The following is a 21746-nucleotide window of genomic DNA, read 5'->3' as shown; positions in this document are numbered from 1 at the left end:
TCCTGGCAGGCCCAGAGGGACTCCAGTTCTGTATCCCTGTCCCAGGCCAGTTCAGCAGTGGATCTGTTCCCACCCTGGGGTCAGAGCTCAGCCACTGTGGTCCCTGTGTGTGGGTTGTGCATTGCTACATTAGAGGTAGTGGAGCCCAGAAGGGAAGCTGTGTTCTGGGGACAGAGGTTCTAGGCACCCGTGCTGACTTGCCTTGTGGCCTTGGGCAGCTTGGTTGCTCTCAAGTTCTACAGCGATAGCTTCTCTTCCTGCCTCTGTCACAGAGATGATGTGGAGACAAACAAGGGAGCCGGTGCAAAAGTACTTTGTGAAAAAGACAGAAATTGCCCCTCATAGACATGAGATCTTGTTCCCAGCAGTGGAGAAGGTAGGTCCTGACATCGAGGGTTCCTTCTGTGTGCTAGGCACTGCATAGAAACTTACACGTAGGATCTGCTTCAATTCTCACAACCGCTGAGGTATGAGGTTTCCAAGTTAGGAAACTGAGCCTCAGAGAGGGAAGTAACTTAACTCCAAATCCTCGGCCCCAAATCCCAGTCTATTTACATCACACTGCCTTGTCTTTAAAAGAAACTATTGGAGCTTCTTCTAATTATGAACAAAATGCATGCGAAGTCAGAAAACTTAGGAAGCGTGAAAAAGCACGAGACAGTTTAAAATGAACATCATTCCATGACCCACAGATAACGTCAGTTCACATCATTTTGTGATCCTTCCTTTATTTATTCTGTGCACTAAGAGCTTTACGAAAATAAAAACGGGTTCTTACTGCATACATCATTTTGTACACGTCATACTCATCAAAGGAAGGTCCACGGGCAGCATCGTCAGCATCACCTGGGAGCTTGTTAGAAATGCAAGCATCTCGGGCTGCAGCCCAGGCTTACTGAAGCAAAATCCTGATGAGCAAGCTCTTCAAATGACGGGGATACATTCTCACTTTTATTTTATTTAGTTTTAATTTTTTTACTCTGGGGGTACAAGTGCAGGTTTTTTGCATGGATATATTTTATAATATAATGGCGAGGTTTGGGCTTCTAGTGTTCCCATCACCCAAATAGTCCACATTGTACCCAATAAATAATTTTCCACCCTCCCCCTTTTGAAGTCCCCATTGTCTATTGTTTCCATCTTTATCTCCATGTGTACTCCTTGTTTAGCTCCCACTTATAAGTGAGAACATGTGGTCTTTTCTTTTCTTTTGAGACAGAGTCTCACTCTGTCACCCAGACTGGAGTGCAGTGGTGCGATCTCAGCTCACTGCAACCTCCTCCTCCAGGGTTCAAGCAATTCTCTTGCCTCAGCCTCCCTAGTAGCTGGGATTACAGGCATGTGCCACCACGCCCGGCTAATTTTTGTATTTTTAGTGGAGACGGTGTTGGCCAGGCTGGTCTTGAACTCCTGATCTCAAGTAATCCACCCACCTCGGCCTCCCAAAGTGCTGGGATTACAGGCATGAGCCACCACGTCCAGCCTGGTATTGGATTTTCTGATTCTGAGTTGTTTCACTTAGGATAATGCCCCCAGCTCCATCTGTGTTGCTGGAAAGGACATGATTTCATTCTTTTTTATGGCGGTGTAATATTCCGTGGTGTACATGCACCACATTTTCTTTATCCAGTCATTTGTTGATGGACACTCAGGTTGATTCCCTGACTTTGCTATTGCATACTCTTAGCAGTCTGTCATAGCTGATTTTCCCCCCATTGCAATGTATGGTGGGTATTGTCCCACGTCACTGAATATTTTCCTGTATCATGATTTCTAGTGACTGGATAACATCCCTCATATGACTGTGTCCTGCTGCTGTGTCTGGTCTGCCTATGTCTCCTACTGGTGAGCCTTCAGGATGTTTCCAGGACACTGTTATAAGAATGCTGGGTTATCTCCTTAGGACAAATTCCCCAGAAGTGAAATTACTAGAGCAGCAGGTTTTGATACATGCTGCCAGATTCCAGCCCAGAAAGGATGTAGCTTGCTTGGTCACTCAGACCCTTGCCAGGGTTTCTTGGGAGGCAGCTGCCATCATGGGGAAGAGCTCACACTTGCGGAGGCACAGGCCTTGATTTCAGGGTCGGACATTCCACTGACTGCCTCAGTCATCTCGGACTGGTTGCTTAGCTGCTCAGGCCCTCTATTTCCTCACCTGCAAAAAAAGCAATGGACCATTTAACTCATAGCTGGTTGTGAGCCTTAAATGAGGCCTGAGATGTGCTTAATAAATGTTCATTTCCTTCCCTCTGAATGAAAATGAGCCCAGGGCCTAAGGAGGTCCTATCACAAAGTCCTTAGATGTCCTTGCATAAGATATTTTCTGTTGCAGTTTATAAATTCTATTCTAATAGATGCACATGGGTGTCACTGACCTTTTCGTTTGGTTCTCTGATGTCTCAGGGAACGTATGGCTTGGGCACAGCAAAGAAGGGCAAAGAAAGAAAACTGAAATTTTCTGCTCCTGAAATTTGAGCAGAGAGGTAACATGTGTGCACCGTGCTGTGGAGAGCATGCTGGGAGGCGGTGGAGGGGCAGTGAGAGGTGTCAAGGCCTGCAGGTGTCTTGCTACCCCTGCTCTTCGCGAATCTCGCGGTCCCTGGGCATTCACACGATGTGACAGCGCCTCCCTTCGGGGACTTTGTCTCAGTGTGGAGTGATGTCTTGTTCGGGCATTGGGCCACTCTGTGCTGGGCATGACCTGTATGCTGGGCTTCCACGGGGACAGAGTGCTGAAGAGGCTCCTGAGGGGGCCCTACTACTGACAGAGGGCAGGTCACATGCCCAGAGCAGGCGAAAGCAAGCAGCAGAGGCAAGCTGCATGCTCAACCCGGCCCACCGAATGGGGTGGAATTGCCACTGTGGGCCTTGTGGGATTTGGCCAGCTCGTGTTGCTGGGCAGAGTGCTGCTGGCTGGGACAGTCCTTAGAGACCTCAGCCCTGGGGCCCAGTCCCTGTCCCTTCAATAATCCATTCTGCTGCAGGGGCCCCTGCACCACCTCCCAGGATACAGGGGACTCTCCACCAGCTAATTGGCCCTCTCCCTGGGAGAAGGCCAAGTCGTTGGCAGGAGCACAGTGGGCTGCACAAAGGGCAAATGTATATAAACTACCTTCAGCGCACTGCGTGATTATCATCTGAGCTCTCCTCTGAACTCACTGCTTTCTTCTGTCATCATCAAATGTATTCGTTGTGCTTTAAAATTAAATTGTAGGCCATTTGAGTAGAATTCTATATACAGTTGCCATTTGGAAAACAGAAAAGCAAACTAGGGCTTTTTCAGAACCATCTTCAGAAGTTGCCCTTGCTGCTGCCTGTTCCTGAGTTTTACTAACATAGAATCGCACCTGCCACCCAGAGCCCTCTGTCAACACTCCAGATATTGCCTGGAAACTGCTGACTGTACCGGTTGCAGTTGGCAAGCCATCAGACTTGGGAGGAACTTGAGTCAGGTGGCATTGTGATGCCAGTTGCAGGAGTCTATTATTTTGAAGTGGCAGCTGCAGGTAATCAGATAGGAGCCACCAGGGCAAGTGGCTGTGTCACGTGGGGTGGCTGGGGAGCCGGCTGGGCAGGCTCAGTGGGTGATTTTTGGGAGGGTGTGGCCCCTGCACCTGTCAGGTTTGGGCTCCAGGGGGAGGGCTGGAAATCCCATCAGTGCAACAATGAGTGGGGCAAGCAGGTCCCTGGTAAAGGAGCATTGGGAAGGCCCCAGGAAAGCAGTTAACAAAGCATATCAAGGACCTGAGGTAACACGATGGGCCTTTAAGGAAAAGTAAAAAGAAAACTGAAACTGGGGAGCAAGTGTGCAGCGCAGAGACGAGCGTGCCTCCCACAGGGTCCCTCGCACTGAGATAGCAAGTGGACATCAAGGCGAGGCAGGAGGGGCCGGGTGGTTTTGGTGCTGGAATGAGAGAGGAGAGCCCTGGGCCTGGGTGTGTCTGGCTCAGAAGCTGTTTCCGATTTTCTCAGCATTCCTCTTTCTTCCTGGGCCCTGCCCTTCCTCAGATGGGGAATGCAGCCTCACCTGCCATTGCCCTTTGCCTGCTTCCATGGTGAGCACAGTCAACAAAGCCCAAGCAACTCAGTGGGGATGCCAATCACAGGGAGGCGAGTCCAACTCCCTACAGAGCCAGGCCACCCCCATCCCGGCCTTCAGGGCTTGGAGTGGAAGGCGGAAGTGCATTGCGTTTCTTAGACGGCCTTTTCTGCTGTGTGCCTGTGCACCCGCCCAAGGAGCTCACGGGGCACAGGAGGGCTGGGCTTGGCAGAAGCCCCACTTCCTCCTGGCGCACGGGTACTTCTGTGAGAGATGGGGACAAGGGCTCTTGATCAGCAACCAGTGGTGACCCGTGGGCCCTAGGCCACTCAGAGGAAAGGGAGGCCCACTCTTCTCCCTGCTGCTAGCTTCCAGGAGGATGAGAGAGCTGGAGGCTCACAGCACACTCAGGAGGATGGCTGCCTTTTACCAGTGCATCAGGCCTGACCCCAGGTGGGCCCTCTGAGAGCAAAGAGGTGGTGGGGGAGAGTCGCGAGGGAGGGGAGGCCAGGCCGTGACTCCCGGGGCGTGGGTGGCCACCATCCCCTGAGGCCTATGGATAAATCTGCAGCGTCTGTTACCTTATGTTCTAGAATGTTTGTGACCTCCTTACTTAACAGACTTTTTATCTCCTTGAGTTGTGTAAATTCTGGAGCAAAATAAGGATTTTCTTTGTTTCCTTTATGACACACACGCATATTCATAAAGAGAAAGGGAGAGGGAAAGGGGAGGAGGGCTGGGTGAGCAGAGTGTGCCATTCTTACCATACCGTGTTTACACTTGGGATCTCCATGGCATAGTTGATATGCTTTGAGTGAAGGGAAGGCAGCAGAGGTCAAAGTTTAAGGATGTTGTAATTATGCCACTACCTAAAGCTCAGCACCAAAGGACTTGTGTTCAACTGATAGCCACAGCCTTGGGAGACGCTCTGCCTGAGCTCCTGCACAGCCAAAGCCAGGGGCCCTACACAGAGACATCTTGTCCTGCTGTAGGTGACCTTATCCCTGGAAGGTGTTTGGCTCTCAGTGCATTTTGACTCTGTGCACCGTGGTGCAGAGGGAAATAGAGCTATGGCTTGATTAAAATTCATTTGCTTAGCATAAATAAACAGATTTGTGTTTCTCATACCCCACATGGAAAATTCCCAGTAGGGCAGTCTCTGTCAGTACAGGTGATGGTTATATCCGCACATCACTTGAGCTGGGCGAACGGTCTTGGGAAATTGTTGTTGCTTCTTTGGAAAGACCCACCCACTGCCTGGCAGCAGGGCTTGGAGGGTGCTCTGGGAGTTGGGGCAGACAGTCCATCCTCAAAGCCTCACTTTCGTTTGTTACAAAGGAGTAGTAACCCAACAACTCAAGGATTCCTTGTGAAGACAGGGCCTTGTACTGGGTAAAACCCTGTGCATATAAGTCATCATCATTGTTACTGTTTCATAAAACTCTTTTTACTAAGAATGAAACCTCAGTGCCTGATTCTGCCCATTTTATATGGGCCAGGATAGAGTGGTGATGTTATGTCTTGGTAATAGGCTTCGGAGCATTATTTCCTACTGAAAAAACAAAACAAAAACAAAAACAAATTCAGCTCCACATCTGCTGTGCTGCAGAAATGTCAGTCATAAATGTAGGGTTCTAGATAAATGAAGCAGTATTTTGGGGATATATGCATAGAAAAATGGAGTATATTACCTCAATAAACTCATGAAGTTAAAAATAAGCCAGCCCTTGCAAAACTGTGCCCAGGGCTTCGGTGTCCTGTTCGTCACATATGTGTGCAGCAGTCAGCACGAGTCATAGCTCTCACTCAGAGACTGAACGTTGCCAAGTTAGATGGCCTCTTTGCAAGACACTCCTCAGCGTTAGAGTGAATTTATATTGTATCTTCCCAAGAATTATGCAAATAGAATTTCTAAAATAAGGCTATGAAGTCTGATGCTTAGCTCTTTTTGAAATAATGGTTTTGTAAAAGTCTCTGATAGTTTTTTTTTTAGTCTAATGACCTGAAAATGTCTAAACTAATGTTTTTCAAATCTCATATGAAAACATTCACCTCAATGAATGTGTAAACAGGTCGCTGTTATGAAAGCTGTCATGCTTTGCAGTCTAAGACATGAATTGTATTCAGGGGTGTTCGTGCAGGCTTAGGTGGCCCATGTGAACATAGGCTCATGTGTGCATATATAGAGTATACACTGTGTTGGATAGCTGTATGCATGCCTAGCTAAGTTAGTTAATTTGTCCATTTATAGGGACTCTGAATACCACTAAATCAACTGTTATGTAGGTAGTTTCTAAAAAATAGTGTAGTTTATATAAGATACTATTTATATGCTTATAAACTATGCTGTTTATCTCATGGCTGACTGAGTGTTGGAATGAAGCTATGGTATTTTCTTGCAAAGAAGCAGCCCAGCAAGTTGTGGCCTGCCATTCTCTCTAGATGCCCTCACTGTCCCTGCCCTGCCCACGGCTGAGGGGAAGCCTGGGGAAGTAAACCAGGCCTCTAAGCAGGGGCCTCCTCTGCTTCTATATTCCTTTACTCCCAAACCGAGGGGTCTGCAAAGCCCAGCAGACTTCAGCTCTGTGTGGCTATAGGGTAGATGATGTTTATAGGAAGACACTAGGCAAGAAGAACTCAGGCTAAAGAAATGTGACATTGTCTAGCTGAGTCATAGATTTTGAAAGAAGTCTGTCCTTGAGGCATTAATGTGTTGGGTGATCATTAAGAAGTGATTCTGCTGGTCACGGTGGCTCACACCTGTAATCCCAGCACTTTGGGAGGCTGAGGCGGGGGATCACCTGAGGTCAGGAGTTCGAGACCAGCCTGGCCAACATGGTGAAACCCTGTCTCTAATTAAAAAAAAAATACAAAAAATTAGCCTGCGTGGTGGTGCGTGCCTGTAATCCCGGCTACTCAGGAGGCTGAGGCAGGAGAATCACTTGAACCCAGGAGGAGGAGGTTGCAGTGAGCCAAGATCATGCCATTGTACTCCAGCCTGGGCATCAAGAGTGAAACTCTGTCTCAAAAAAAAAAAAAAAAAAAAAAAAAAAAAGAAGAAGTGATTGTTTCATCTATCAGGTGTTACTGCTAAGTGCCTCTGGATCATTTGCTCATTCATTCATTCATTCATTTAACAATATTTATTGAGCACTACCATGCAGCTGTTCTATGCTGGTGACATGTTATCTCTCCTCATGGAGTTAGTCTTCCAGTTTTACCTACTTAGCAAGAAAGGGGCTTTCTCTAGGCCACGCCTTACTTTAGTTTTTAAACATCAGACAAACAGTAACTACAGGGCAATAAGATACTTCAAATCTGACCAGCCAAGTTCCTTTACTCGCCCTTCTTGCTTTACTTAGAGCTCTGTCATTTAGCATCTGAATATTCTCTAGTTTCAGCCCTTTGATTATGAGATTTCTTTGCTTTCTTTTCTCTTATATGTCAGAGCAGATCTGTCTCTCTGTCCTCGCTATCCTTTCTGACAAGAGGACAGAGAAGGTTTTGCACACAAGTGGATGACAGCTTCAGAGAGCAGGAGGTGGGAGGCAGAGGTGAGTGGATCACCTGAGGTCGGTGGTGGGCACCTGTAATCCCAGCTGCCCAGGAGGCTGAGGCAGGAGAATCACTTGAACCCAGGAGACAGAGGTTGTAGTGAGCTGAGGTTGCGCCACTGCACTCTAGGCTGGGCAACAAGAGCGAAACTCCGTCTCAAAAAAAAAAAAAAAAAAAGCAGAAAGTCCTCTTGACACCTTCAGGGAGAAAGGGTTGGCTGCAGTGAGGTCCGGTCTTGACGCCTCTTTGGTGTGGGTACAGCTGTCAAGTCCCTCTGCTTTTGAGGATAATAATATCATTAAGCAGCAAGCTGGCACAATTTTTGAACAGAGATTTCTCACAGGAACTCTGCAAGCATTTCACATTCCATTTGCTTCAGTAATGTGAAACTTATTTTTCTAAAAAAAGGTACAGGCAGATCTTGGCATGACTCACTAGAGAACAATAGTTAAGTCATAATTTATTTTCATCTTTTTCCCCAGGAAAGGGAAAAATTGATTAAAAGTATGGGGAATGTAACCAGGCGTGAATCTGTAAAGGGGAAATGGATCAAAGAATCACACAAACATGTATACATGTAAAATGGGTAAGTTTTGTGAACAAAAGGCACAGGGTCTCCCATAGTATGTCGCGGGAGGTCTTGACACATCCTGAAGGGACAGATTGGTCTTCCTGCGGAAGTGGAATGAAAGCTGAAATCTGAAGGATGAGTAGGAGTAAGACCAAAGTGGAATGTGCAGGGAACATCAAGTTCAAGCAGAAGGAACAACATCTGCAAAGGCTCCAAGCTGGAAGGAAACGGAGTGCTATTGGTGGAGGGAGAGCAGGGCTGAGGCACGCATTCTGCTGGTGTGCACAGGGCTTGGGTTGGAGTCCAGCCCACCACCTCCTCTTGTTGACGTTTGTGTCTGTCCACGTTTGTGTTTTCCCCTATTCCTGCCTGCACCTCCAGTCTTCTCCATGAGATTGCATCCCTCTTCCTGTAACAGTTGTTTCAGTGTGAGTTTGCTGGAAACAAATTGTATCAACTTTTCTTTTCTGAAAATGTCTTTATTTCATCCTTTTTCCGCAGCTTTGATGACATATTAGTTACATATCATAAAGTTCACCTGTTTAAAATGTATAATCAGGCCAGGCGCAGTGGTTCATGCCTGTAATCCCAGCACTTTGGGAGGCCAAGGCCTGTGGATCACCTGAGGTCAGGAGTTCAAAACCAGCTTGGCCAGCATGGTGAAACCCCGTCTCTACTAAAAATGCAAAAATTAGCCAGGCATGGTGGTGGCTGCCTGTAGTCCCAGCTACTCCAGAGGCTAGGGCAGGAGAATTGCTTGAACCTAGGAGGCGGAGGTTGCAGTGAGCCGAGATCGTGCCGCTGCACTCAAACCTGGGTGATGGAACGAGACTCCGTCTCAAAAAAAAAAAAAAAAGGGTACAATCAATGGGTTTTTGTTAAAGAGTTGTGCACCAAGGAACACAATCTAATTTTAGAACATTTCCATTTCCCCAGAAAGAAACCTTGTGCCCATTAGCAGTCACTCCCATTCTACCTGTGTTTCCCCAGCATCCCTCTCCCCACCTCTTTGCAACCACTAATCTACTCTGTGTCTCTGTGGATTTGCCTAGTCTGGACATTTCGTGTAAGTGGAATCATGCAGTATGTGGCCTTTTGTAGCTGCCTTCTTTCACTTAGGTTAATGTGTTCAAGATTCATCCAGATTGTAGCATATATCATTACTTTATTCCTTTTTCTTGATGGATAATATTTCATTACATATATGTAACATGTTTTTTATTCTATCTATCCAGAGATGGATATTTGGGTTATTTCTACTTTTTGATTATTATATAAATAATGCTGCTATGAACATTGGTGTACAGGTTTTTTTGTGCACGTTTTAGTTGTGGTAAAATGCACATAACATAAAACTTACCATCTTAATCATTTTAAGTGGTATTAAGTGCGTTCAGATTGTTGTGCAGTCATCATCACTGTCCACCCCCAGAACTCTTTTTGGGGTCTTGCAAAATGGAAACACTACGCATTAAAAAGTAACTTCCTAATCCCTTCTCCCTCAGCCCCTGGCAGTCACCATTTTACTTTCTGATGCTACGATTTTGACTACTCTGAGTACCTCATATAGGTGGAATCTAGTTTTGAGACTAATAATTCCAGGTGCTTCTTGACTTACGATGGGGTTATGTCCTGATATACCCATCATAAATTGAAAATGTCATTAAGTTGAAAATGCACAGCTGACTGGAGACTTGGTGCCACTGCCCAGCATTGCAAGAGACGGATGGTTTCTATTGACTGGGTATTACTTTTGCACCATTGTAAAGTCAAAAATCATAAATTGAACCATCATAAGTTGGTTTTAAAAGCCTGTACCTCTTTTTTTAAAAAAGTGCTAGTCTCTTAAATCACGTAAAATACAAAACAATGGAGTTACAAACCATTTTTACAATAAGAGTAGCTTTAATAATTCCCGTGTATTTACTTTTATTGAGATCTTTATTTCTTTATATGCCTTCAAGTTAATATCTAGTGTCCTTTCATTTCAACCTGCAGGACTCTTTTTAGCATTTCTTGCAGAACAGCTCTAGTAGTAACAGACTCCCTCAGCTTTTATTTATTTGGGAATGTCTTAATTTCTCCCTCACTTTTCAAGGATACTTTTGCCAGTTATAGGACTCATGCTTGACATTTTTTTCTTTTCACACTTTGAACATATCAGCCTACTACCTTCTGGCTTCCAAAGTTTCTGATGAAAAATCTACTGATAATCTTATTGCAGATCTGTTGTATGTCACAAGTCACATCTCTCTTGCTGCTTTCAAGATTTTCTGTCTTTGGCTTTCAACAGTTTGATTATAATGTGTCTTGTTGTGGGCTTAAGTTCATCCTACTTGGATTTCATTGAGCTAAATGGATGTTTTATACATACACACACATAAACATATGTGTGTGTATGTATAAACACATAAATGAATAAATGTATAAATGTAAAATGTATATATAGATATATGTATGTATAAACATATAAATGTAGAAATATATAATGTATATTTCATCAAATTTGGAAAGTTTGCAGCCATTATTTTCTCAAATATTCTTCCTCCCATTTCTCTCTCTCTTCTCTTTCTGGAACTCTTACAATGTGTATGTTGGTCCACTTCATGGTGTCTCACAGATCCCCTATTTTCTGTTCACTTTTCTTCAAATCTTTTTTTCTGTTCCTTAGACTTGATAATTTCCATTGTTATATCTTCAAGTTTGCAGATTCTTCTTCTGCCTGCTCATATCTGCCTTTGAATTCCTCTAGTGAATTTTTCATTTCAGTTATTGTTCTTTTCACCTCCCAGATTTCTTTTTGGTTTCAAGATTTTAAAATCTCTTCAGTGATATTTCAATTTTGTTTGGACATCATTTTCTTGATTTTCTCCACATCTCCCTTTAGTTTGGTGAACATTTTTAAGATAGCTGTTTTAAAGTCTTTGTCTAGTAGATCCATCATCAGGTGTCTTTCGGAGATCATTTCTGTTGGTTTTTTTCCTTTGATGGTCCATACTTTCCTGTTCCTTTGTATGCCTTGTGATTTTTTGTTGTGGAAAACTGGATATTTGAGTCTAATAGTATGGTAACTCTGGAAATTAGCTTCTGTCCTTTTCCCAGGGTTTGCTGGTTTGGATTTTTGGGTTTTGTTTGTTTGTTTTAATTGTTGCAGGCAGTCTTAGTGCTGATGATCAGCCTGAAGTATAAACTTAAGGCCTTCCCAGATCTTTCCTGAGACTGAGCCTTTTTGCAGGCATGCATGGTGACTTTCTAATCTCCCCTTATGTAGTTGCTTTTGAGTGACCTAGTCTTTGATATCTGGCTCCGAGAATGAGAAACAAGAAAAGTGAAGGAAGAAAAAGGGTACCAGCCCATTAAATCTGCAGGGAGTCACCTGGGGCTGGAGGGAGTCTTGTAACAATGGGGAGAGGTGCAACAACAATGGCTGCCACCTCTTTGTCTGCACCTCTGTTATCAGAAGCAACAGCCAGAGGACAGATCCCTAGTGTTTGGAGGACAGGGTCCCTTTTGCTTACACTGGCTTCTGCAAGCTGCATACAAGCTGCTCCTGGAACACATGCATGGAGAAGTGGGGGGATGGGTGGATGCTACTGTGCTAAGAGCAGAAATGGGCAGAAATTAACCACAATGTACCCCCCAGTCCTTCCCTTGGAAGTTGCAAGCCTTCAGTTGACTCCAGAGTTTCAAAATAATTACATCAGACAGATTCTGCTAGTGCAATTGCACTAGCAGAAACAGTGGGGAAACAGATTCCTGGTGCTTTCTATACTAACGTTTTCTCAGAATCTTTCATGGACATATGTTTTTATTTCCCTGAGGTAGATATCTAGGAATGTAATTGCTGGGCTGAATGGTAATTTTACGTTTCACATTTTGAGGCACTGCCAAGCTTTTCCAAAGTACCTGCTACATTTTACATTTCCACCAGCAATGAATGAAGGCTCCAGTTTCCTCACATCCTTGCAACGCTTGTTATTATCTATCTCTTTTATTATAGTCATTCTAGTGAGTATGAAGTAGTAACTCACTGTGGTTTTGTTGTTGTTGTTGTTGTTGTTTTTGAGACCTGCTCTGTCACCCACGCTGGAGTGCAGTGGCATGATCTCAGCTCACTGCAACCTCCACCTCCCAGGTTCAAGCGATTCTCCTTCCTCAGCCTCCCAAGTAGCTGGGATTACAAGTATGCACCACCACGCCCAGCTAATTTTTGTATTTTTAGTAGAGATGGGGTTTCACCATGTTGGCCAGACTGGTCTCCTACTCCTGACCTCAAGTGATCCACCCGCCTTGGCCTCCCAAAGTGCTGGGATTACAGGCATGAGCCATCACTATGGTTTTTATTTACAATTTTCTAGTGACTAAGAGGGTTGAGCATCTTTTCATGCACTTATTAGCCATTCATTTGCCTACTTTATGCCTTCTTTGTGTAAGTTTGCCTTCTTTGTGCAAGTTATGTTCAAATCCTTTGTCTGTTTTTAAATGGGATATCTTTTTATTATTGAGTTATAAGAATTCTTTCCATGTTCTGCATACCAATCCTGTATCAGATAGATGATATACAAGTATTTTCCCTAGTCTGTTGTCTTTACAGTTTCTTGAGAGTCCTTTGAATTAAAATCTTATAATGTTGAAGTCAAACTTACCTATCTTCTCTTTTGATGCATTTGATGTCACATCTGAGTAATTATTGCCTAACCTAAAATGACAGGCTTACTCCTGTTTTCCTCTAAGAGCTTTATAGTTTTAGCACTTACAATTTAGATCTATGAGCCATTTTGGGGTAATTTTTATGTAACCAGTGTGAGGTAAGAGTACACATTATTTTTTGCATGTCGATGTCTACTTGTTCCAGCCCGGTTTGTTGAAAAGATGATATCCCTCCATTGAGTTGTCTTGACACCCTCATTGAAAATCAATTGGCCATAAGAGTATGTGTTTATTTCTGTTGAACTATATGTCTACCAATATGCCAGTACAGTACAGTCCTGATTACTGTAGCTTTGTAGTAAGTTTTGAAAATGGAAAGTGTGAATGCTCCATCTTTGTTATTTTTCAAGATTATTTTGACTTTGCAAGGTCCCTTGCATTTCCACATAAATTTTCAGATCAGCTTGTTACTTTCTGCCCAAAATCCAGCTGAGATTTTGATAAAGGTTGCATTGATTCTGTAAATCAGTTTGGGGAATACTGCCATTTAATAATATTGTCTTCTGATTTATGAACACAGGATATCTTTCCATCTATTTATGTCTTCTTTAATTTTTTTTCAACGTTGTTATTTTCAGTGTACAAGTGTTCTACCTCCTTGGTTAAACTTACTCCTATTTTGTTCTTTTGGATAGTATTTTAAATGCAGTTGTTTGTTTTCTTAATTTTGTCTGTGGATTGTTCATTGCTAGTATGTAGAAATACAATTGGTTTTATTTTTGTATTGGTCTTAAATCCTGAAACCTTGCAAACTTTAGTTATAATAGTGTTTTAATGGATCCCTCAACATTATCTATGTGCATGATCATGTCATCTACAAATAGAAATAATTTAATTTTTTCCCTTTCAATCTCAGTGCTTTTTATTCTTTCTCTTAAGTGCTTGCCCTGTCAAGAATCTCCAGTACAAAGTTGATTATCAGTGTGACAGTAGATGTCCTTGTCTTTTTTCTTATCTCCGGGGAAAAGCATTCTGTCTTTCACCACTGAGTATGATGTAAGCTGTAGGTTTTTCATAGATGCCCTTTGTCATGCTGAGGAAGCGTTTGTCAATTCCTAGTTTGTTTGAGTGTTTGTATCATGAAGCGATGTTGGATTTTGTCAAGTGCTTTTTCTGTATCTACTGAGATAATAATGTAATAGTTGTCAGTTTTCCATTAATATGGTTTATTGCATTGATTTTTCATATGTATGTTGAACCAACCTTGCATTCTTCAACAAATCCTACTTGGTCATGCTGTGTAATCTCTTTAATATGTTGCTGGGTTGTTTTTGCCAGTATTCTGTTGAGGAGTTTTGCATCTTTATTTTTTATACCTCCATTAAAGTGATCATGTGATTTTTGTCCTTTATTTTATTAATATGGCTTTTGCATTAATTAGTTTTCATGTGTTAAACCAACCTGTATTCCTGAGGTAAAACTCACTTTTATATCTTACTGGATTTAGCTTGCTAGTATTGTGTTGAGAATTTTTGTGTTTATATGCATAAGAGATATTGGTCTATAATTTTCTTTTATTGTGATGTCTTTGGGTTTGGTATTAGGGTAATACTGGCTTCACAATGAGCTGGAAAGTGTCACCTGTTCTTATATTTTTGAGAGGCGTTTGTGAAGGGAAAGGTTTCTGTTAATTCTTTAAGTGTTTGATAGGATTTACCAATGAAGACATTTGGAGCTGGATTCTTCTTTGTGGAAAGTTTTACAATTACTAATCTCTTTTCTTATTATAAGTCTATTCAAACTTTCTTTTTATTATTGGCTTAGATTCAGTAGTTTGTGTCTTTCTAGGAATTTGTCTATTTCATCTAGGTTGTCTAATTTTTTGGCATACAGTAATACATAATATTCCCTTAAAATACATGCTTTTTATTTCTGTAAGGTTGGTAGTGATGCCTTCTTATTATTGGTTTTAGCAATTTGAATCTTCTCTCTTTTACTCTTGGTTAGTAGAGCGATAGGTCTGTTCATTTTATTGATTTTCTCAAAGAACCAACTTTTTGTTGCATTGATTATTTAAAATGTTTTTCTATTTTCTATTTTATTACCTTTTGCTCAATATTTATTTTGTCCTTTCTTCTGTTTGTTTTCAGTTTAGATTGCCCTTCTTTTTCTAGTTTTATATAGTGGAAAGTTATGATAGCGATTTGAGATTTTTCTTCTTCTTTTTTTTTTTTTTTTTTTTGACAGAGTCTCACTCTGTCACCCAGGCTGGAGTGCAGTGGTGCGATCTGGGCTTACTGCAACTTCCACCTCCCAGGTTCAAGAGATTATCATGCCTCAGCCTCCCAAGTAGCTGGGATTACAGGAATGGGCCACCACACCCAGCTAATTTTTGTATTTTTGGTGGAGATGGGGTTTCACCATGTTGGCCAGACTGGTCTGGAACTCCTGGCCTCATGTGATCCGCCTGCCTCAGCAGTGTTGGGATTACAGACAGTGTTGGGATTATAGGCAGGCACCACTGCACCCAGCCTTTTCTTCTTTTTTACGTAGGTGTTTATAAGCACAGCTTTTCTCCAAGCAGTGTTTTATCTGCATCACATATGTTTTGGTATGTTGTGGTTTTGTTTTTATTCATCTCAAAGGACTTTATAATTTTTCATGTAATTTATTCTTTGACTCATTTGTTATTTAGGAGTTCATCGCATAATTTCCACTTATTTATGAACTTCCCAAAATTCTTTCTGTTTTTGATTTCTAATTTGATTCTGTTGTGGTTAGAGAATATATTTTGCATGAACTAAATTCCTTTAAATATATTTTGTTTTGTTTTATGGCTGAGCATATGGTATCATTGTTAATGTTCCATAGGGAGATAAGATAGATATGCATATATATACACACATACACATACACATACATACATACACACATCTTTGGTCTAGTTGTTCTATAGGGTTGTTCAAGTCTCTTATATCACTGTTGATTTTCTGCTTATTTGTTCTATCTGGTATTGATTATTTAAACCATTTGCATTTAATGTCGTTGGTATGGTTAAATCTACAAATTCCATTTTGCTTTTTGTTTTCTATTTATATCAGAGTACTTTGTTCTTCTGTGACTTCTTTACTACTTCCCTTTAAGTGTATATTGTCAGTCATACCTTTTAATTTCTTATTGATTTTTAATTCTATTTTCTTCTGTTATTTTTTAGTAGCTGATCTAGGCCTTATAATATACATCTTAATATATCAGAATCAATTTAAGATTTATACTAATTTAGTTCCAGTAAGATATAAAAACATTACTCCTTAGTAGTTTTATTCCCTGCTCTATTTGTTGTACTATTATTGTTGTACATATTACATCTATGTTTGTCATAGGCCCAATAATTATATTTTTATATCATTTTCTGTCTTTTAAAGAAACTAATAGAAGAGAGAACAAAAATATATTCATAGAGTCTGTACAAAATATATCAACCTCTTACCATTTTTGTTTTTCTTTCTTTTTCCTGTGGATCATGTTACCATCTGATGTCATTTTCTTACTCCAATGTAGCTGTGTTGTAAACGGGGTAATAAGTTCCCCTTTTAGGGTGTTTAAGGATCATTCCAACATGACTATGCAAATTGCACCTGGAGAGACAGATGCCATTAAAGGATTTATTATACTTGCAGGTCCTAGAGAAGGAGGCATGGCATGCCACACCATGCATGGGATCATATTGGAGGAGCTCCTAGGGAGCAGACTCAACAGAGCAGGTGGAGAGATAAGTAACAGTGTGGATCCCTGGGCAAGTGCTTTTATTAGGGGTCAGGGTATCATGACTCCTAATAAAAGAATCATGAGAAGATCTTACTGGTTCATTTGCATGTTGAATGTCACTAGGTCATAGTCAGGGGACAAGAAGGGGAACTTGTTGCAGGGACCATCCTTCTCACACTGGTACACCTGGTTGCCTGGGCATGATGTTCACAGCCTGTTTGTGAGGACGTTGAGGCATCAGGAAAATATGAAGTTTTAAAAATTTACAAAATTTCATTTCTACCCTCCTCCTTTTTGTTGTTATTGTCAAATATACTACATTGCTATACATTATAGTCCCAACAATGCAATTTTAATACCATTTTATGCCATTGCTTTTTGAATCAGCTATAAAAAAAATGAGAAGAAATATTCAATTACACTGTCTTTTATAATTCCCTACAAAATTACCTTTATTGATGCCTCTGATTTTTTGTGTAGATTCAAGTTACTGCTTGGTGTTGCTTTTGGCCAGAAGAACTTCCTTTAATATTTATTGTAAGACAGGTCTGCTAGCAAGAAATCATCTCAGTTTTTGTTTTTCTTGAATATCTCTAGTTCATCTTCATTTTTGAAATATAGCTTTGTTGGATACAGAATTCTTGGTTGAAATTTTTTTCTTTTGGTACTTTGAATATGTCACCCTACTGCTTTCTGGTCTCCAATGTTTCTGATAAGAAATTAGCTGTAAATTTTATGATGATTTTCAACTATATAACTCTTTTCTCTTGCTGCTTTCAAGTTTTTCTCCTTATCTTTAGCTTTCACATTTTCACTCTGTGTCTGTGAGCAGTTCTCTGTGTTTATCTTACTTGAAGATTTTTGAGCTACTTGGATATGTAGATTACTGTTTTTCCTCAAATTTAGAAAGTTTTTGGCTATTATTTCAGAGAATCATTTTTCTACATTTTTCTCTGTCCTCTCCTTTGGGACTCCCATTCTGAATATTTGTATAGTTAATGATGTTTTGAATTTTTCTGAGTCTCTGTTCATTTTTTTCCTTCAAATTGCATAATCTCTATTGATCTATTTTTTAATTTGCTGATTTTTTTATTGTGCCAACTCGAATCTCCTGTTGAGCCTCTTCAGTGAATTTTCTCATTTCACTTATTGTACTTTTCAACTCAAGAATTTTCAGTTTGTTTATTTTTATAGTTTCTACCTCTTTTAATAATCTCAATTTGATAAGCTGTAATCATCCCTTCTTTTAACTCTTTAAGCATGTCTTCCTTTATTTCTTTGAGCATATCTATAATAGCTGCTTTGAAGGTTTTGTCTGAGGAGTTCAACACCTGTGCCCTCTTAAAGGCAGTTTCTATTGCCTGCTTTTTTCCCTGTGTATGAGTCAGACTTTTCACCAAATTCTTCACACTACCATTCTGAAATTACTGCTTCCCTTTTTTTTGGATAACTTTTGTATAACTTTTTATTTGATATAATACCAAATTTACAGAAAAGTTACATAGTGAAGGAATTTATCATATAATTTTTAGTCAGATTTACCAATTTTTCACATTTTGCCTCGTGATATATCCTTATTTCTTTGTATGTTTATATAAAGAACATATATATCTATATGTTTGTAACATTTTTTGGACTATTAGTGAGCTCAGAAAATCACATATGTACTTCCAAAGAACAAGAACTTTTTTTTTTTTTTTTGAGATGGAGTCTTGCTCTGTAGCCCAGGCTGGAGTGCAGTGGTGTGATCTTGGCTCACCCTAACTTCTGCCTCCCAAGTCCCAGTTCAAGCAATTCTCTTGCCTCAGCCTCCCAAGTAGCTGGGATTACAGGAATGCGCCACCATGCCCAGCTAATTTTTGTATTTTTAGTAGAGATGGGGTTTCACCATGTTGGCCAGGCTGGTCTTGAACTCGTGATCCACCTGCCTTGGGCTCCCAAAGTGTTGGGATTACAGGCGTGAGCCGCCGCACCCAGCCAAGAACATTCTTTTTAATAATCATAGTTACAATGATCAAAATCAGCAAACTTTAAGTTGATGTGATGTTATTATGTAATCCACAGTCCATATGTAACTTTTGTCATTTGTCCCAGTAATGGCTTTTATAGCACTTCCTCATTCTCCAGTCCTGGATCATATATTGCTTCTATTCTGAAATGGTTTCTTGGCCTTCCTCCTGTCCTTGACATGTTTTTAATAGTACTAGAGAGTTATTTTACAGAATGTCTCTCATTTGGGTTTGTCTGATGTTTCCTTAATTATATTCTTTTTCATGTGACGTTTCATTATTGGCTATTTGCATATATTTCAAATCATTTGCCCAAGTTTAAGGCAGGGGATTGTTTGCATTTCATTTATTGGGTTCTAGGGATTCTTTATACATGCTAGATACAAGTGGTTTTATTTTTGTAAGATATTTTTTACGAATATTTTCTCTCTACCAGTCACTTACCTATTCATTTTTCTAACATTGTCTTTTGATGAGCAGAAGTATTTCATTTTGATGAAGTGCAAACTATAAATTTTTTCTTTTATGGTTTTTTTAGGCATCTGTAAGACATCTTTGCTTATCTCAAGGTCAAGTAGATAGGTTCTGATGATTTTTTAGAAGCTTTATATATTTTTTATTTAATATTTATCATTTTTCAACTTTTTAATGTATCCCATCTGGTTTTCTTTTCTTTCTTTTTTTTTTTTTTTTTTTTTGAGACAGAGTCTCACTCTCTCACCAGGCTGGAGTGCAATGGCATGATCTTGGCTCACTGCAACTTCTGCCTCCCGGGTTCACGCACTTCTCCCGCCTCAGCCTCCCGAATACTGGGACTACAGGTGCCCACTACCACGCCCAGCTAATTTTTGTATTTTTAGTAGAGATGAGGTTTCACCATGTTGGCCAGACTGGTCTCGAACTCCTGACCTCGTGATCCACCCACCTCGGCCTCCCAAAGTGCTGGTATTACAGGTGTGAGCCACTGCGCCAGCTTGGTTTTGTTTTTGTTCCTCTGTTCTTCCTATTTGTTTTGTTCCTCTGTTCTGCCTTTTTTGGGGTTAATTGAATTTTTGGGTGTTCCATTATAAATTTTATTTTAGCGTTTTAGCTAAACTTCTTTGCATTAAATTTTTTAGTGTTTTCTCTAGGGATCACAGTATTAATTCTGAAATTGTGACTGTCTGTTTAGAGTTAGTCTTGTACCACTTCACGTAAAATGCCAGAACCTTGTGATAGTCTAGTCATACATACAACTCCTACCTTTATGTTATAGTCACATATTACATCTACATACATTGTAAATTCATAATAGTTTTTTTAGTTGTTATATGCATTTAAATAAATTTAGAAAAGAAAAACACGTACTTTTTAATATTTACCCACATATTTACCACATTCATTATGCTTCATTCTTTCTATAGCTTTCAATTTCAATCTGGTATAATTTTCTTTCATCCTAAAAAACTTTTGTTTTGCATTTCCTGTAGTACATATCTGCAGTACATATCACTTTTTAGAAAAGTGTAGTACATATCACTTTTTAGATAAGTGAAAGTACTTTTCACTTATCTAAAAATGTCTATATTTTGCCTTCATTATTGAAGGATAATTTTTCTGGATATAGAATATTGGGTTGTTCTTTGTTTTCTATCAGCACTTTAAAGAGACTATTCTGTTGGCTTTTCTTATCCATTGTTGGTCATTTATATTGTTGTTTGCCTGTTTATGATGTGTCATTTTTCTCTGGCTGTTGTCAAGATTTCCTCTTCATCTTTGGTTTTAGTACACTATGCTGTGTTCCACACTTCTGTGAGGTCTATGATGTGCCTTGTTGTGGTTTTCTTGGAGTTTGCTAAGATTCTTAGATCTGTAACATTATCTTTTCCACCATTTTGGAGAAATGTTTATTCGTAAGTTCTCCAAATATTTTTAATGCCCCCCCTTCCCTTTCCCCTTCCCTTCCCTTTCCCTTCCCTTCCCCTCCCCTCCCCTCCCCTCTCCTCCCTCTCTCTCTCTCTCTCCCGCACCCACCCCTTCCCTCTCCTTCCTTCTTCTCTCTCCTTTTCCCTCTTTCTCTCTCCTGCTTCTTCACACTCCCCCCACTCCCTGTTTCTGGGACTCAATTAAATATATGTTAGACCAATCAATACTGCACCACTGGTCACTGAGGCTGTGTTCAGATTCACTTTTTTCCCAGTCTTTTTCTCTCTGTTCTTCAGATTGGATCATTTCTATTGATCTCTCTTCAATTTGATTGATCCTTTCTTTTGATGTCTTCAATCTGCTGTTAAGCCCATTTAATAAATATTTTATTTTAGAAATTACAGTTTTCATCTTGATGATTTCCATGTGTTTCTTCTTTATATTGTATGTTTCTAATTTGAAATTCTTTATCTTTTTATATATTATGGCTACATTTTTGTTTTAAGTAGCTTCTTTAAAGTCTTTGTTGGCTATTTAAGCATTTTGGTCACTCAGGATTATTCTTTCTTAGGTGTTTTTTTTCTCATGACTATGGGTCATATTTTCCTATTTCTTTGCATGTTTTGTAAATTTTGATTATATGGTAGACATTGTAAATGATATTTCATAGGAACTCTGGAACCTATGCTGTCCCGAAGATTATTGATTTTGTTCTAGCAGGCTGTTTGTTACCTGTGAACTCTGTCTCTCCTGCAGTGAGCAGTAGAAAAATCTTAGTTCATTTCCCTCAGCCTCCCAGCTGTTATCTTCTGCCTGGTTCCTTGGAGTCTCCCCAGTATGTGCAGAATTCAGGGGAGGGGAGCCAAGAATTAGGATAGGGTTTACATGTGGATTTTGGTGCTCCTCTCTCTGAAGTTTTTTCCTTCCTAAGATATTCTCCCTCAGTTTCCATCTGCTCTGGCAGCCCTAAATTCCATTCTTGGATTCATCAAGCCCATAAGATTATGGCTTTGTATTTGAGCTCCAGCCACTCCACAACACACATACCTGAGAGCTTTTCCAGGTCAAAAGCCCTACACACATAAATCACTCCTACTGCAATTCCCTTTTTTTAAGTGTTGATTCCAAAAATAAAAAACTAAAAAATAATAAAAAAGAAAAGAAGAGTTGATTCCACTTTAATTTCTGCTTTCAATTGCTCATAACTGCCTTCAAATGATTGTTTTTCATCTTTTCTCCACAGTTTATA

The 21746-nt window shown here is 40.5% G+C and overlaps 1 protein-coding gene across 9 annotated transcripts in view, besides 1 other annotated feature; it reads left to right on the top strand.

Annotated features, from left to right (window-relative positions):
- Positions 1 to 21746, top strand: part of CRACDL (CRACD like) — a 142380-nt gene that overhangs the window by 62656 nt on the left and 57978 nt on the right. For 2 of the 9 annotated variants that reach the window (XM_005263924.4, XM_005263923.4), the window contains exon 1: positions 4197 to 4492. The exons of 6 other annotated variants lie outside the window; for them this stretch is intronic. In XM_005263924.4, the coding sequence (XP_005263981.1) occupies positions 4419 to 4492 (74 nt within the window). In that variant the 5' untranslated portion in view covers positions 4197 to 4418. Of the gene's footprint in view, positions 1 to 3658; positions 3750 to 4196; positions 4493 to 21746 lie in introns of those variants that run through there. One more of the 9 variants, XM_011511095.2, reaches the window with a different exon arrangement.
- Positions 3453 to 4060: an enhancer, noted in NCBI's record as "H3K4me1 hESC enhancer chr2:99485973-99486580 (GRCh37/hg19 assembly coordinates)". NCBI's record gives its function as "activates a minimal SCP1, AML or CMV promoter by ChIP-STARR-seq in naive H9 embryonic stem cells {active_cell/tissue: H9 hESC(naive)}" and the evidence as "EXISTENCE:reporter gene assay evidence [ECO:0000049][PMID:30033119]".

The sequence above is a fragment of the Homo sapiens genome, chromosome 2 (assembly GCF_000001405.40).
Source record: "Homo sapiens chromosome 2, GRCh38.p14 Primary Assembly".
NCBI classification, from domain to species: Eukaryota; Metazoa; Chordata; class Mammalia; order Primates; family Hominidae; genus Homo; species Homo sapiens.
The sequence above is the reverse complement of the archived record's forward strand: the minus strand, read 5'-3'. Positions and strand labels throughout refer to the sequence as shown.